Source organism: Homo sapiens, chromosome 20, assembly GCF_000001405.40.
Source record: "Homo sapiens chromosome 20, GRCh38.p14 Primary Assembly".
Classification (NCBI taxonomy): Eukaryota; Metazoa; Chordata; class Mammalia; order Primates; family Hominidae; genus Homo; species Homo sapiens.
In genome coordinates, this window is record NC_000020.11 from 63,327,129 (window position 1) to 63,343,183 (window position 16,055).

Genomic DNA, 16,055 nt, shown 5'->3' on the forward strand with positions numbered 1-16,055 from the left:
CACTCAGGGACTTTCTGTTGACTGCCCAGGGACTTGTGTTTACCACTCAGGGACTTCCTGTTGACGGCCCGGGGACTTCCTGTTGACCGCTCAGAGACTTCCTGTTGGCCACTCAGGGACTTCCTATTGACCACCCAGGGACTTCCTATTGACCACTCAGGGACTTCCCATTTGTTGTTGGAGGCCTGTTCTGAGCTGGGAGCTTGGTGTTGGTGCTAGTACAAGAGAGTGTAGCTAAGGGCTGGTTCTGCACCTCTCCCAACCCCACCCAGGACAGACGTGGTGGAGGGGAGGTGGTGGGGCGGCAGGCTCCATGGAGGGTAGGGGGACAGACGTGGGAGATGGGGGTGTAGTGTCCCCTGGGGGATGCCTTGGCCTTCAGCAGCTCCATGGGCCCCCCCTTAGGTGGGCTCCAGGTTCACCAAGGAGCTGGGGAGGTGGAAGAAGACAGAAGACGGCAGGGAAGTGCCAGCACAGGCCTGACCCGGGCCCGGGGCCCGGGAGGGGTCTGTTCTCTGGGCAGTGTCCCACACCCGCCATCTCCCCTAGCACAAAATCTACAGCCAGAGGCAAGTCCTTTGTGGCACAAGTTCCAGCCCCACTCAGGACTCTGCTGCAGAACCGAGCCTCTCACATGCCTGCTCTCGGGTGCAGGCGAGGACCACAGGCTCCTAGGATCTGGGAATTTGGGATGGGGCTTTCACACCGCCACTGTGGCTATCAGGCTGCCTGAGTGAGGATCCACCTCAGGGCCATCTCACACTTGTCACGTGTGGTCTCAGGCCATCTCTGCTGACTTCTTTTCTCTTCCCCTCCTCATCAGGGACTGCCAGGGCCCAAAGGGGAACGAGGAGAGAAGGTAAGTGAGGCTGAGATCTTTGGCTCACTTGGGATCTCCTGGGAAGGCACCTGCCACACGGGTCCCAAAGCTGCACCACCTTCCCTTCCAGGGCGAGCCGCAGTCCCTTGCCACCCTCTACCAGCTTGTGAGCCAGGCCTGTGAGTCTGCCATTCAGAGTGAGTGAGGCCAGCAGCCCTGCACCTGTGCCTACCACACCTGTCTGTCCTCACACTGGCCAGGCCGAGGGAGGCCGCCTTCACCCATCGTTAGCACACCTGGGCCAGGTGTCCTGGCGTGGCCTGCACAGGCCTCGCATCCCCGGGTCCCCACTGTGTCCTGCTGACACCCCTCCTCCCCACAGCACACGTGTCAAAGTTCGACTCCTTCCACGAGAACACCAGGCCCCCCATGCCCATCTTGGAGCAGAAGCTGGAGCCGGGCACTGAGCCCCTGGGGTCCCCTGGCACCCGCAGCAAGGCCCTGGTTCCTGGAGAATGGGGGCGTGGTGGCCGCCACCTTGAGGGCAGAGGTACTGGGCTCCTGGCTCTTGGGGAGGGAGTTGTGGCCGGTGGGGGCGCCGGTTGTCCCCTGGTCCTGGGGCTGGGGCTTCAATCTGTGTCAGCACAGCAGCTCCTGCTGGAGATGCCACTGTCCAGCCTCTGGGGTGCTGGGGTGAGGACACGGGGCTTCCCTGAGCCCACACAAAGCCAGTCATGGCAAAGAGGTCAGCCTCGGCCTGGCCTTCCAGGGCCCTCAAGATGACCTCTTCCCCAGTCTTCAGGAAACATGAGCTGCCTGCTTAGGGCCACACAGGAGAGCCCAGCCTACCTCCCATCCTTCCTCCCGCCCTCCCGCCCTCCTGTCCTCCTTGTCCTCCCCACTCCCGCCCTCTTATCCTCCTGGCTGCTGCTTCCTCCGCCTCTCCCCACCCAGCGCACAGTCGCAGGCTCCCGTGACCTTGTTGGTGCTCCTCCTCCTCTGAGGCAGCAGCGGTGGGTCATGACTTGGACGCTGAGATGGAGGAGAGGCTGATTCGGGGAGCTGGAGCTGGAGAGGGGCGTCCACGGGGAGAACAGACGGGGGATGACCCAGCCAGACGAGGACTGAGTTCTGCACTGGCCGGGGCAGCAGCGGGGGCATCTCTGCTCTGTTCGGGCATCGGCTGAATCCCACCCCTCATCCCACAGACGTCTCAGGAAACTGGGGGCAACCTGGGGGGAGCCCCGTGGGCTGTGGGAACCCCTGCCCCCGGCTTGGAAGCTGCCCACAGTGGCCTGGTTGCAGCCTGGCAGATGAGGGGTACATCACTACTCAGAATAAACGGCCCCCTCTGCACCCACCTGTCTAGATGAGGGTGACAGGCACTATCACAGGGCCCCCACCTGACGCCTTCCCACCTGGCCATGCCCCCCCAGAACTGTCATGGAGCCCAGGAGGCGCCTGTGTGGAGCACGGGGACCTGGCACGCTGCTGCCCCTAGATCTCAGACTCCCATCTAAGGACCAGACCTGCTGCCTGTGCCCAGGGAGGGGCCCTGACACCCTCTGTCCCCGTCAGAACAGGGCCCCAAGCCACTGCATTGCTCCGTCCTCACATGCCCTCCCTTTCCTCGCAGGGGAGCCTGGAGCTGTTGGTCAGATGGGCAGCCCTGGGCAGCAGGGGGCTAGCACCCAGGGCCTCTGGGAGTGACAGGTGAGCCCCTGCTGCCTGCATCTATCTGCCAAGGCTGAGGGCATCCAGGAAGGAGGAGCTCCTGAGGGGCCAACGGGTGGGGCCTCATGCTGTCCAGGGTGGGGTGCTGGGAGCACAAGGCCCAGCAGAGGCAGGCGAGGTGGCCCTGGGGAAAGTAGGGTCAACTATGGACCCCGTAGGGGCAACAGGAATGTGGGGTCACAGGGTGTGGGGTCACAGGGCGTGGGGTCACAGGACGTGGGGTTCCGGAGATGGATTGGCGTGCTGGGAGTCTGCTGCACCTCGTGGGATGCAGAGTTGCGTGCTGGGGCGGAGGAGGCCCTGACCAGGGTTAGCGCAGCAGGGAGAGTGGAGCTCAGGTGTTTGCTCAGTGGGCACCTGGTCCAAGTGTGGGAAAGCTCACAGGAGTCCCAGGAGGGGCCTGTGAGGCCCTGGGTATGTCGATGAGAGAGGCAGGGTGGGGGCCATAGTAGCACCAGGTAACCTCTGCCTTCCTCAGGAAGCGCTGGGCAGGCGGACCCTGTGTGCAAACTTAGCTGAGGGGCTGGTCCCAGCAGCAGGTGTGGGGACAGGGTCCCAGGAGCAGGTGGTGGGTACAGCACAACTCCGGCCTCAAGTAGCTTCAGGGGCCAGAGCGTGGCGCAGGGTGTGTGACCTGGGGCCCATGAGGGGCCGGCACCTTTGAGCTAGGGGACTCGGCAGGGGCTAGGAGGGCTGAGGAGCACAGGCAGGAGACCCAGGGGCTCCTGGTAAGGCTGGGGCAAGAGGGCAGCTGCCTGAGATGCCCAAGAATCAGGTCAGAGCCCAGGGCTAAGAACAAGCAGCCTTGCTTCTCCTCCACAGACCCGTCAGAGAATGACCCCACCCACGGCCCTGCCCGCAATCCTGCCCACTTACGGCCCTGCCCATGGCTCTGCCCACTCACGGCCCTGCTGGACGCAGTGTGCAGAGACCCAGGATGCGGGCTCTCAGGGTGGCCACAGTGCCAGGCGCTGGCCCTGAGCCGGTGTCCAGCTGTCTTCGGCCTCTCACATCTGTCCTCCCTTCTCTCCTGCCAGGACATTTTCTGCACTGCCCCGAGGAACGCTGAGCCTTCCTCCCTGGGTTTGTCTGGACACCGAGAGCGACCACATCCTGGAGAAGCCAGGAGAAAAGCTCAGGAAGAGCCTGCAGGTGGAAGGAGAGGGAAGCAGCGGCCTCGGCCAAGGCCCACCCCATACTCTTGGCTCTGTAGCATTTCCAAGTTCAGATAAACCCCTGAGTGCTCACCCAGCCAAGCGAGGCGGGAGTCATTTCCTGGGAGAGTGTCCCCCACCCTGGCTCTGTGCACCCCACCTTGAGGCCCTGCAGCTTCAGCCGCAGTGGGGAAGGGGAGGGGCTGGGCTGATGGCGAATCGGGTTCAGGAGGGCAGCAGTGCCCTGTGGCCGTCTCAGTAGCTCTAAAACAGGCTCAACAACATGCCCCGCCCCTTTCTCTGGGCCTCATCTAAGCCTGGCCAGGGCCCTGTGGGCCCGCCTCTCTCTGCGCCTCACGCAGGCAACAGATGGTTCCACTGCTGGCCCACCAGTCACCTGCACGATGGCTCCTCCCTCAGAACAGCACTCCCACCCCGGCCCCAGCACCTTCACATCTGGGCACAGGCAGGTCCCTGCCTGCCTCATCGTCCCCTCTGTCCCCAGCCCAAGAAGGAGTTCAGATCCTGTGTGTGAATGGCCACCCCTCACCCACCCAGCCCTGTGCTGAGTTCCTTGTGCAGGGACATTGCTTTGAGACTTGGCACCATCAGCCCCTGGTCCTTAGGGTCTCAGAGCAAGGTCATCCCTCAGCAGGCTTCTGGCCTGTGCGCTCCTCAGCACCTCTGCCCAGGTCTCTCCCAACCATCACAGACGCTGTGTGAGCCTGGACTTCCTGCCTTATCCCCACTGTGGCCCAAACAGCATGGGGGCAAGCTCAGAACACACACCTGGGCTTCTGGGCCTTGTGGCCCGTGGGGGTGATGTGGGAACTTCTACTTCCTTTCCAAACAAATATTCAGTAACTAGTCCACTGTTACCACTTAGGCAGCTAAGCAAGAAAGGTGCCAGAAATGAAGAGGGAAGCCATATCATTGAGGAGAGAATGAAAAGTATTAAAAAGGAACAAAGAGAGACCCTTGATATTGACAGAAGGAAAACCCACCAAGATCACCAGTGCAGCATTGCGTGCACCAAAGCATACCCCAAAGAGGTGAGCGCAAAACAGCTTCAGGGCAAACACTTCATCTATGATTCAACTGTTCCAGGAACTGACCAGACCTGGAGACCAAATAGAGAGTCATAGGCAGGGTCAGCAGGATGGGAGAGAGCGCCTGCACCCACAGGAGCCACAGCCCTGACTGAGGCCAGGAAGCAGCCCCAAATGCCAGCTCCCACTGCAGCATGAGAACAGAAACAGACCACTGAAAATTCCCAAAGTCTGTGGACAAATCAGACGTCGAAGAAGTCACGTGGCATCGAGACAGATTTTGCACTGAGGGACAAGGAGAGCATGTGGCCAAAGTAGGTGCAGGTAAAGCAGCATCTGGGGCAGAGTTATAGCCTTCAGTGCAGGTATCAGACACAGTTGTTGAGAGCAGCAGCCCAAGCCAGCCCCTCCGTCCTGCAGGGAGGACACCTAGGTCACTTGGCTTCTGTTGGGGAGCTGAGTTGCTTCAGATTGTGTGACCAGCAAAACAGCTTGGTTGCTCTCACTTGGTTTCTCCAGGGCGGGGAATTACATGTCCCCAGCTGAACTGAGAAGGCTCTTTGAGCAGTGGAGTGAGCAGGCTTTGTCATGAGGCAGGAGTGGGGCTAGAATCAAGCCCAGAGCCCACAGGGCATCCAGAGCCTTCCAAAGGAGCCCCTCTCCTGGGGCTCTCCAATTTGATGAAGGGACTGGGCACTGGGTGGCTGAGACCACATTGGCAGCCAGGAGGAGGCAGCCTGGCCGGGGGGAACCAGGGTGGCTCTAATCCCCACCACCCCCTCAGCTGCCCTACCCCCGCCACGCTGGTGTGACACCAGTGATGCTCAGCCTCAAAAGGGGAGTCCGGCTGTCTTCGGGAAACTGACTTTATGCTGGAGGCCAATTAAAATGGCACAGCAAAGGCAGCGGCCAGCTGGTGCCCAGGCAGCTTAGGGACTGGTCCCTGAGGCCCCACCCGCCCCAGCCTGTGCAGTGGAGCTGAGTACGAATCAAAGGTGAGGATGGCAAGGGAGCTGAGAGCAGCCTCCGGATGCACCAAACCGGCCTGGCTCCTGTTTGCAGGAAGGCAGCCTCCCCGAGACCCAGCCGACCTGCACGTCTCCCATCAGCCCCGACTCCACCGCATCCCTCTGGGTCCTTTTAGGAGCCCCCAGGGACTGAGCCGGGGCTCACGCTCCTGGCCAGAGCGCTGGGTTTCTGGCAATGCCTCCCCTCCTGCCTTTACGGCCACAGCTCTCCCCTCCAGAGGCCCCTCTGTAGTGGGCCTCGGTCCCCTCTCCACCCCCAGAGGCAGCACAGCTTCAGCCCTACGCAGTGTGGGGGCTCCGGGAGGAAATGCAGGGAGGTGCTTGGTCTTGGCCCAGAGCTCATGGCCTTAGGTGCTGCCCCCAGTCACCCCCGTGCCCATGCAGCCGGGGATGTTCAGCTCAGGCCAGCCACCGAGGTGGTGTGACGCAAGGCTGATCTGACGCTCAGCTCAGGCCGCTGGGGTCATGGGGGTTGTGGGAAGGTCATGGAATCACGGGGCTCACGCTGGGGTCACAGGGTGGTGTGGCTGTGTGGACTGTAAGGGGCGTGCAGCCATGCGTATCTGACCTGCCCTCCCTAGGTCTGCAGGCAGTGCCGAGTGGCTCTGCCTGAGGCCCCAAGAGCGACCTTGGAAGCTCCAGGCCTTCACAGCCCCTCTGAGAGCCACCTGCAAGGTGGGGAGCTGGGAAGAACGGCTCAGTGATGAGCTCAGAGGGAGGGGTGGGCACAGCGCCCAGGAAGGCGGGTGCGTGCAGGCCTGGGAGGAATGTGTAGCAGGAGGCAGGGGGTGCTGTGCCCGCAGGACCAGCAGGTGAGGCGTGTCCACCCACAGAGGATGGCTCTGGCCCAGGCAGTGTCAGAAATGGAAGCTGAGGAAACCCAACCCCAGCTGTAGAGGAGCCTGCCCCGATGCCATCTGCACCTGGGGGGCGACGTATGGCTGCCAGCCTCTTCATCTACCAAGGACCAGGGCAGTGGGGACGGGAGAGCTGGGACACGTGGACTCACACCAGGGCAGATGGTGGGGGAAGCCAGTGTCTGTAGATTCAGTGCATTTCTTGGGGAAGGGCGTGGAACATTTGGACTTGAGCCCCAGCACAGAGACGATGTCATAATACAGCCCCCCATCGTGATCTGATGGTAAGTACAGAACTCCTTGCCCAGTGGAGAAACACTCTCCTCTCATGTGTGGAATATCCACACACTAACCATGAACTGGGCCATAAGAAACCTTACATTCCAAAGGATCCTGCTGTTCAGAACTCACTCACTCACTGATGAAACTGGAAAAACAACCAATGATAACAAGCTAAAGAATGCCTCTAGAAGCTAAAAGACACACCCATGACTCCACAGTAATTCATGGGTTAAAGAGAAAAAAGGAAACGTGAAGATACTTGTAACCAAATAATGATGGATGCAGCGCCACGTCAGAATCTCTGTGCTGCAGCTGCAGTGGTACCTAGAGGGCAATTTATAGCTGTAAATACAGTGCTTTGTTTTGTTTTCTTGTTTTTTGAGACAAGGTCTTGCTCTGTCACCCAGGCTGGAGTACAGTGGCATGATCTCGGCTCAATGCAACCTCTGTGCCACCCTGGGCTCAAGTGGTCCTCCTGCTCCGGTCTTCTGAGTAGCAGGAACCACAGGCGTGCGCCACCACGCTTGGCTAATGTTTTTTGTATTTTTTTAAATAGAGACAGGGTGTTGCCGTGTTACCCAGGCTGGTCTTGAACTTCTGAGCTCAAACGATCCACCCTCCTTGGCCTCCCAAAGTGGTGGGATTACAGGTGTGAGTCACCTCACCGGCCCTTAAACACAGTTTTTAGGGAAGATTCCAACTCAAACAATTTTAAATAGTAGAAAATAAACCCTGAAGCAGTGTGCATTCATTAGTACTGTGTTTGCCTGTATTTAATTAAAACCTGATTGCCATTGGCTTCCCTAAATCAGTTTTTGCCATCACACGTAAAGTCCTGTGGGCAGGAATGGACATTGAGGGAATCCTGGGCTGTTTGGCCGTCCTTGGCATGTAGCTGCCCTTCATCAGAAGATGGCAGATCCCAGCCCTTCATCACAAGATAGCGGATCCCTGCCCTTCATCACAAGATGGCGGATCCCAGCCCTTCATCACAAGATGGCAGATCCCAGCCCTTCATCACAAGATGGCAGATCCCAGCCTGTTTGGCCGTCCTTGGCATGTAGCTGCCCTTCATCACAGGATGGCGGATCTCAGCCCTTTATCACAAGATGGCAGACCCCAGGCTGTTTGGCCATCCTTGGCATGTAGCTGCCCTTCATCAGAAGGTGGCAGATCCCAGCCCTTCATCACAAGATAGCGGATCCCCACCCTTCATCACAAGATGGCGGATCCCAGCCCTTCATCACAAGATGGCGGATCCCCACCCTTCACCACAAGATGGCGGATCCCAGCCCTTCACCACAAGATGGCGGATCCCAGCCCTTCACCACAAGATGGCGGATCCCAGCCCTTCACCACAAGATGGCGGATCCCAGCCTGTTTGGCTGTCCTTGGCATGTAGCTGCCCTTCATCACAAGATGACTGCTGCTGCTCCAGGAGCTACACCTCACTTGGCGGAAGGGGCGGGAGTCCTCTGGGTGAAGAGCACCAGTGTTAACAGGAGTCCCACTTGGAGACTTCTGCTTGTACCTAAGGACAAAGACTGCAACTCTCCTTGTCCAGAAAACAGACGTTTTAGCTGAACACGTTACCACCTCCCACAGAGTGACTAAACGCGCCGTGTAGGGCTCGATGTGGCTTCAAGTAACAATAATAACAGGATAAGAGTGGCTCTCGCAGTGTGGAAGTGACATTCTCAGAGGCACGGGGAGGCCTCTTTCCCTCACCTGGCTCTGCATCCTCCACACAGGACACTGCCCTTGTTTCCACTGTTGGGTCATATTCCAACAACAGGAAGAAGAGGAGGGAGGAGAAAGGCTGGCCCGGAATCGGGTCACATTCCAACAACAGGAAGAAGAGGAGGGAGAAGGGCAGGCTCGGAACCTTGAAGGGCACATTCCAAAGGTGTCCTTGCCACTGTCAGCTACATCCCTGTGGCCAGACGTCGGTCTCACGGCCAAGCTGAGCTGCAAGAGTAGAACCTTTTCTGGCTCCTTCCTGAGGCAAGAGGGGAAAGGGAGAGTGGGGCCAGCCCTGGGCCAGCCACGGGGTGGGGAAGGTGGCCCCCACGTCCCGGAGGGCTCAGTGAAGTGCACCTGGCCAGAGAAACGAGAGGGCCACCACAGTGCTGGGGCAGAGAGGACAAAACCATGGATGAAGACAAGGCTGAAAACCAGAGCCCTCTGACCCATTTTACGCCAACAGATCTGCAGGCCCAGGTGAAATGGGCGTTCAGACATCCGCATTTCCAGAAGAGTCCCCACAGACTCCTGGAAACAAGATGGCCACTAACAGAGGCTCCTGCCTGGTGAGACGCCAGGACTGGGGAGGGAGCCCGACAAATCCAGGATCTGAACACAGAAACGGAGAAACCCTGGGGACGACTCAGGCCACCCTGTGTGTGCACGTGTGTGCGTGTGTCTGCGTGCATGTGTGTGCGTGTCTGCATGCATGTGTGTGCGTGTGTGTGCATGCACGTATCTGCGTGTGTGCGTGTCTGCATGCACGTGTGTGCGTGCGTGTGCGTGCACGTTTGTGTGCGTGTCTGCGTGCACTGTGCACGTGTGTGCGTGTGCATGCACGCGTGTGTGACAGTAGCCCACAAGAAACCATTACATGACAATGGACTGTCTCCTCCCCAAATCCGTACACACACACACGAGGCATGCATTTGCAAACACACACCCATACACACACGTACTCACACATTTGTGCATGCACAGCGCTGTTATCCATGTTGAGGGGACGTATTCACAAGGGAAGGTGGGGTATCTGAGATCAAAAGCATTGGGAGAGACAAACCGGAGAATCTGTACCAGGCAGAGAAGAATTCATGTTTGTTCTCTTTGATCTATTAATTTTTTAAAATTGTAATCTCTTAAAGAGGCAAGGAGGGATATCGGTAACATGACGCCAGAATTATAGGTATAAAGGAAAACCAACTAGGAATATGATGTGTATAAAACATAAAAAGAGAAATGTTAAAAGCGGAGCTGTAAGATCAGGTCTGAGACGTCTCCCGGGAGGCTTTGGGAAAAGATAAAAAGGAAACAGAAAATGTAAGTGTTAGCACCCACACCATGGGGGCTCTACGAGGAAAGAAACAGCAAGAGGAGGGGGAAAGGTTGAAATAACTGGGTTTTCTGAAGATTTGTGCATTAGAGAAAGATTTAAGATCTCAGATTAAAAGGGCCTAGAACGTCAAATGGAATAAATTTTTAAATGTACCCTTAGGTTCCTCAATGCCATATATAATGCAGTACATAATGATGACGGTGAAAAACAGTCTTTTAAAAATCTTCAGTACATATCCTAAAATTGGAACGATACAGAGAAGATTAGCATAGCCCCATTTGCTGGGATGACACACAGTTAAAAGAAAAAAAATAGAAATCTTTCCGGGGAAAACCTGCAGCCCAGACTACAGAAGAACCAGGGGCCAGCAGAGGAGACGCTGGGACGGTGGCTCCACAGGGTTCAAGAAAACATGCTCGCGTTTCATATCTACAGAATTATCACTTAAATGAATGAGACAAAAATACATTCTGAATCCCTGAGACTGTCAGAAGGAGTCACACACAAGATCGTCTCTGAAAATACCACTGGAGGAAGTATTCTGCAAAAAAAGGAAAATGATCAGAAATTACACCAGATACCTGGGAAAATCCCACAGTAAGTGTAAAACTTAGTAAAGTTCCCTATGGACCAAATAATCAAACCCTTCACCCCAGACAAATCATGTCTGTGGCAATCCAGAGCTGAAATTCTAGGTTATTCCAGTGTGGCTGGTGTGTGGGAGGCCAGAATTCCTGAAGGCACGCTGGGGTACTTGTTTTCTTTGGAGGTGGGAGGCATTTTTCAGGTCAATATACTAAGCTCTTGAAAAACATAAATGCTTGTTTTGAGTCAGGAGCAGTCACCAGGGAATGTGTAGCTTCCAGAGCAGCTGACTATACCAGTTTTCTCCCACAGAAGGGATGGAACGTATTTCCACAACAACAACAAACCACAGAGTTGGCCTAAATATATCCCGCTGTAGTAGAAACTGCAATACCTTTCACTGATCGAAGGATGAATTCTCCAAATGGCATTTAAAGATGACATGCAGCTTTCTGCTTCCAGCCGTGATGGAGCAGTCCTGGGCCAGTAACAGCCACAGAGCTGGGTAACACGCTCGCGACAGTCTCCAGCCACGTCCACGGGAATGGTGCTCAGACAATGAGCCTCCACCCTTATCTCACACCAGACACAACAGTTAATTCAAAGACTCTCACCTAAACACCAAAACCAGAACTACACTTTCCAAAAGGAAAAAACGGAAGATCACATTTACAGCCTCGGAGTAGGCAAAGGCTTCTCAAACAGGACACACGAAGCACTAACCATTAAAACAAACAGAAGGAAAAAATGACACTTTGTCAAAATTCAAAGCTTTTCTTCAAAAGACACCATTAAGTGAATGAGGGCTGTCAGAGGCAGAGAGGACCTACTCTGACCACAAGTCCTGGATGGAGGTTTTACATCCAGAATGTACACAAAATTCCTACAACTCAGTAAAAGCAGACAATCTGATAAAACAATGGGCAAAATATTTCAACAGATCCTTCACAAAAAGAAGACATACAAGTGGCTCGTAAGCACCTAAAATGGTCAACATCACCATCATCAGGGAGGCACATATGAAAATCACAGTCACTGCAACAGCTAAGACACTGGGTGCTGGTGAGGATGTCGGGGCGTGTGGATGCTCCAGCCACCCTGGAAAACAACGTCGGGGCTCCTTACAAAGAGAAAAGTACAGGCTGGGCACGGTGGATCACGCCTGTAATCCCAGTACCTTGGGAGGCTGAGGCGGGTGGATCACATGAGGTCAAGAGATCGAGACCAGCCTGGCCAACATGGTGAGACTTCGTCTCTACTAAAAATACAAAAATTAGCTGGGCGTGGTGGTGTGTGCCTGTAGTCCCAGCTACTCAGGAGGCTGAGGCAGGAGAAGCACTTGAACTCCGGAGGCGGAGGTTGCAATGAGCCAAGATCGCACCATTGCCCTCCAGCCTGGCATCAGAGCGAGACTCCGTCTAAAAACAAACAAAAACAGAAAAGTACAACTATCCTATGCCCCCAGCAATTCTACCAGGTATTTGCCCCAAAGCAATGAAAGCAGGTGTCTGCACGAAGCCTGCACATGAGTGTTCACAGTCACTTTAATCAGAGCAAGTCCAAACTGGAAACAATCCACATGTGCATTGATTACTCAACAAATTGCAGCAAATCCATAAAGACGAGTGAATTACATCATATCCACACAGATGAATGAATTACGTCATATCCACAAAGATGAGTGAATTAGGTCATATCCACAAAGACGAGTGAATTAGGTCATATCCACAAAGATGAGTGAACTACATCATATCCACACAGATGAATGAATTACATCATATCCACAAAGACGAGTGAATTACGTCATATCCAAACAGATGAATGAATTACATCATATTCACAAAGATGAGTGAATTACATCATATCCACAAAGACAAGTAAATTACGTCCTATCCACAAAGATGAGTGAATTACATCATATCCACACAGAGGAATGAATTGCATCATATCCACAAAGACGAGTGAATTACATCATATCCACACAGATGAATGAATTACATCATATCCACACAGATGAATGAATTACATCATATCCACACAGATGAATGAATTGCATCATATCCACACAGATGAATGAATTATATCATATCCACAAAGATGAGTGAATTATGTCATAGCCACACAGATGAATGAATTACATCATATCCACAAAGATGAGTGAAGTATGTCATATCCATAAAGACGAGTGAATTACATCATATCCACACAGATGAATGAATTACATCATATCCACAAAGACGAGTGAATTACGTCATATCCACACAGATGAATGAATTACATCATATCCACACAGATGAATTACATCATATCCACAAAGACGAGTGAATTACATCATATCCACAAAGACGAGTGAATTACGTCATATCCACAAGATGAGTGAATTACATCATATCCACAAAGACGAGTGAATTACGTCATATCCACAAGATGAGTGAATTACATCATATCCACACAGATGAATGAATTACATCATATCCACACAGATGAATGAATTACATCATATCCACAAAGACGAGTGAATTACGTCATATCCACAAGATGAATGAATTACATCATATCCACAAAGATGAGTGAATTACATCATATCCACACAGATGAATGAATTGCATCATATCCACACAGATGAATGAATTATATCATATCCACAAAGATGAGTGAATTACGTCATATCCACACAGATGAATGAATTACATCATATCCACAAATACGAGTGAATTACGTCATATCCACAAGATGAGTGAATTACATCATATCCACAAAGACGAGTGAATTACATCATATCCATACAGATGAATGAATTGCATCATATCCACACAGATAAATGAATTATATCATATCCACAAAGACGAGTGAATTACGTCATATCCACACAGATGAATGAATTACATCATATCCACAAAGACGAGTGAATTACGTCATATCCACACAGATGAATGAATTACATCATATCCACAAAGATGAGTGAAGTATGTCATATCCATAAAGACGAGTGAATTACATCATATCCACACAGATGAACGAACTACATCATATCCATAAAGAGGAGTGAATTACGTACATTCAACAGCTTGGGTGAATACCACAAGGACTAAGTTCTGATTTCCTATCTTGCCCAAATTCCTATCAAAAGTGTCTGGGGAGTCATGCCCTACAAACTATCCATTCTCACCAGATGTGTTTTATTTGACCCTATATATCGTGACTTACTTCCCAGTCTCACTCTGGTGTAACATTATGAGACAAGGAAAAAAAAAATGTTTTACGCCAAAATATATTTCCTTGCCATACCTTGAAATTGCCCTGCAAAGTTTCTCGCGGGAAAAACCGACATTCTATAGAGAATCCCCTTCCCCTTTGTTTTCCTTCCTTTCCAGATCCAGGAGATAATCAACTAAGAGCCAGGCACCCTTTTAGGTCCAATAAGAAACATTTCACAACCTGCTGTCTCTGAAGTCTGCTATCTGAGAGCTTCCTCTGCACCAATCAAACTTGGTCTCCACAATCCTTTATCTCAACCTGAACATTCCTTTCCATGGATGCCAGGTCTTCAGACAAACTCAACCAATTGTCAACCAGAAAATGTTTGAATTCACTTTGAACTGTCCCACCTTTCTGAACCAAACCGATGTATTTCTTAAACGTATTGATTGATGTCTCACGCCTCCCTAAAATCCATAAAACCAAGCTGCGCCCCACCACCTCGGGCACGTGTCCTCAGGACCTCCTGAGGGCTATGTCATGGGCCATGGTCACTCAGATTTGGCTCAGAATAAATCTCTTCAAATATTTTACAGAGTTTGACTGTTCATCAACAACTCCAAACGCCATGCTGCATGACAGAGGCTATCCACAAACGCACCTGTTCCACCTACATGAAGTTCTAGAACATAACAGAAATGATCCACAGAGCTGGGAATCACATCAGCGGTTTCCTGGAGCGCAGAGGGTTTTAGCTACACAGGACACGAAGGAGCTCTCTGGGTGAGGGAAACGTTCTGTGTCTGACTAGGATGGTGCTTACGTGTTGTCTGCAGGAAACCTTCCTTATATGTAATCAAATGGAGCAGCAAAGTGAAAAGGAGAGACTGGAAAGGGATCTACCAACAACTCTCAAAAGACGGCCGGAGCGTTTACGTGATGATGAGAAAGGAGACTTGAGAGAGTGGCACGGTACGAGGGATAGAGAGGCCGTTACATAGTGAGCAGGTGCCCCCTCGCGAGAACACAGCAACCCTGAATGCAACCTAACAGAGCTTCCAAATACACGAAGCAAATGCCAGCACGCCTGCGAGAAGGGGCAAAGCCACGGTTCTCCTTGGTGACTTCAGCTCCCCTCTGAAACCTCCTACACCGTGTAGACAGAACACTGGCCCGGGTGTAGAAGGCCTGAAGGACACCTCAGTAGGCGGGACCTGGCGGGCATTTCTAGAATGTTCCCTGAAACAGAGCCGAAAGATGTCTTCTTTTCAAGGCTGCGTGGAACCCTGATGAGGACAGACCATATGCTGAACCCGATAACAAGCGTGAAGGATTTGAAAGCACTGAAATTAAATGGAATACTTTGCTGACTCCAGAGGAATTCAGTTAGAAATACAAAACAGAGATTCAAAAACCTGACAAAATAGGCACGTCATAGAAGAAACGTGAACAGCCGATAAACGTGTGAGAAGATGCCCCAACTCAAGTAACTAGAGAAATGCAATTTAAAACACAGAGAGAACTGTATTCCCACCAGACTGGCAAAACTTAAGAACCCTTGGTACAGGGGGGAGAATCGGAGCCCTGAGAGGAGGTAACGTCGATGCAACCACGTTGGCAAACCCTTCGTCAGCAGCTCATTGAGCCGACCACGCACCCTTCCTTCCCACGGCAGAGCGGGAGCTCCTGGGTCAGCCTCCCTGCCAAAGTCTGTTCACAGCAGCCCCGAGCTGGCGACGGGTAAATAAGATGGTGGAGCCACGCGGCGGAGCCCGCAGCACAGTGGCCGCGCAGCGAGCAATGACCCGGGATCGGGAGCCGACAGAAGGGCACGCCTGGCGCGGCCACGCACAGAACCCAGGGCCAGGCAACGCGGGGCAGAGGTGTTGGGTGACCTCGGGCGGGTCGTGGCCGGCCGGGCTGGGCAGGGGATTCCTGGGTGCCGGCTCTATGCGAATATTCTTCAGTCTGTGAAAGAAAATGCCTTGTCATGCCGCTGAGGATTCATACGCACGCTGTGTACCTTACCCCGCGAGGCAGGCAAATGCCAAGAAATGCCAGCTCGGATTAGCGCAGCGGGAGCGCCTGTCTGCAGACAGGGAGTGTAAACGGCACAGTCACGTGGAAGACACGTTGGCATTATCTCCTAAAACCCAGTGCAAACCCCTGACAATCCCACTACCAGGTGTTCCGTCCTAAGCAGCGAGCTTCCAACCGTGGGTCAAGAAATCAGTTTTGTGGGTTGCATCCAGCCTTTCCTACAGACTGAAAT

The 16,055-nt window shown here is 53.2% G+C and overlaps 1 protein-coding gene and 1 pseudogene across 3 annotated transcripts in view, besides 1 other annotated feature; both read left to right on the forward strand.

Moving 5' to 3' along the window:
- Positions 1 to 7,678, forward strand: part of COL20A1 (collagen type XX alpha 1 chain) — a 41,621-nt gene extending 33,943 nt beyond the window's left edge. The window contains exons 32-36 of one of the 3 annotated variants that reach the window (NM_020882.4): positions 824 to 859; positions 951 to 999; positions 1,203 to 1,370; positions 2,457 to 2,533; positions 3,592 to 7,678. In NM_020882.4, the coding sequence (NP_065933.2) occupies positions 824 to 859; positions 951 to 999; positions 1,203 to 1,370; positions 2,457 to 2,530 (327 nt within the window). In that variant the 3' untranslated portion in view covers positions 2,531 to 2,533; positions 3,592 to 7,678. Of the gene's footprint in view, positions 1 to 823; positions 860 to 950; positions 1,018 to 1,202; positions 1,371 to 1,828; positions 2,114 to 2,456; positions 2,534 to 3,591 lie in introns of those variants that run through there. The other 2 variants (XM_011528937.2, XM_011528938.2) reach the window with 2 other exon arrangements.
- On the forward strand, positions 10,227 to 10,296 carry RNU6-994P (RNA, U6 small nuclear 994, pseudogene; annotated as a pseudogene).
- Positions 13,174 to 14,373: an enhancer, noted in NCBI's record as "BRD4-independent group 4 enhancer chr20:61971654-61972853 (GRCh37/hg19 assembly coordinates)". NCBI's record gives its function as "activates an origin of replication core promoter dependent on BRD2, P300/CBP, MED14 and CDK7 cofactors, and independent of BRD4, by STARR-seq in HCT116 cells {active_cell/tissue: HCT116}" and the evidence as "EXISTENCE:reporter gene assay evidence [ECO:0000049][PMID:35650434]".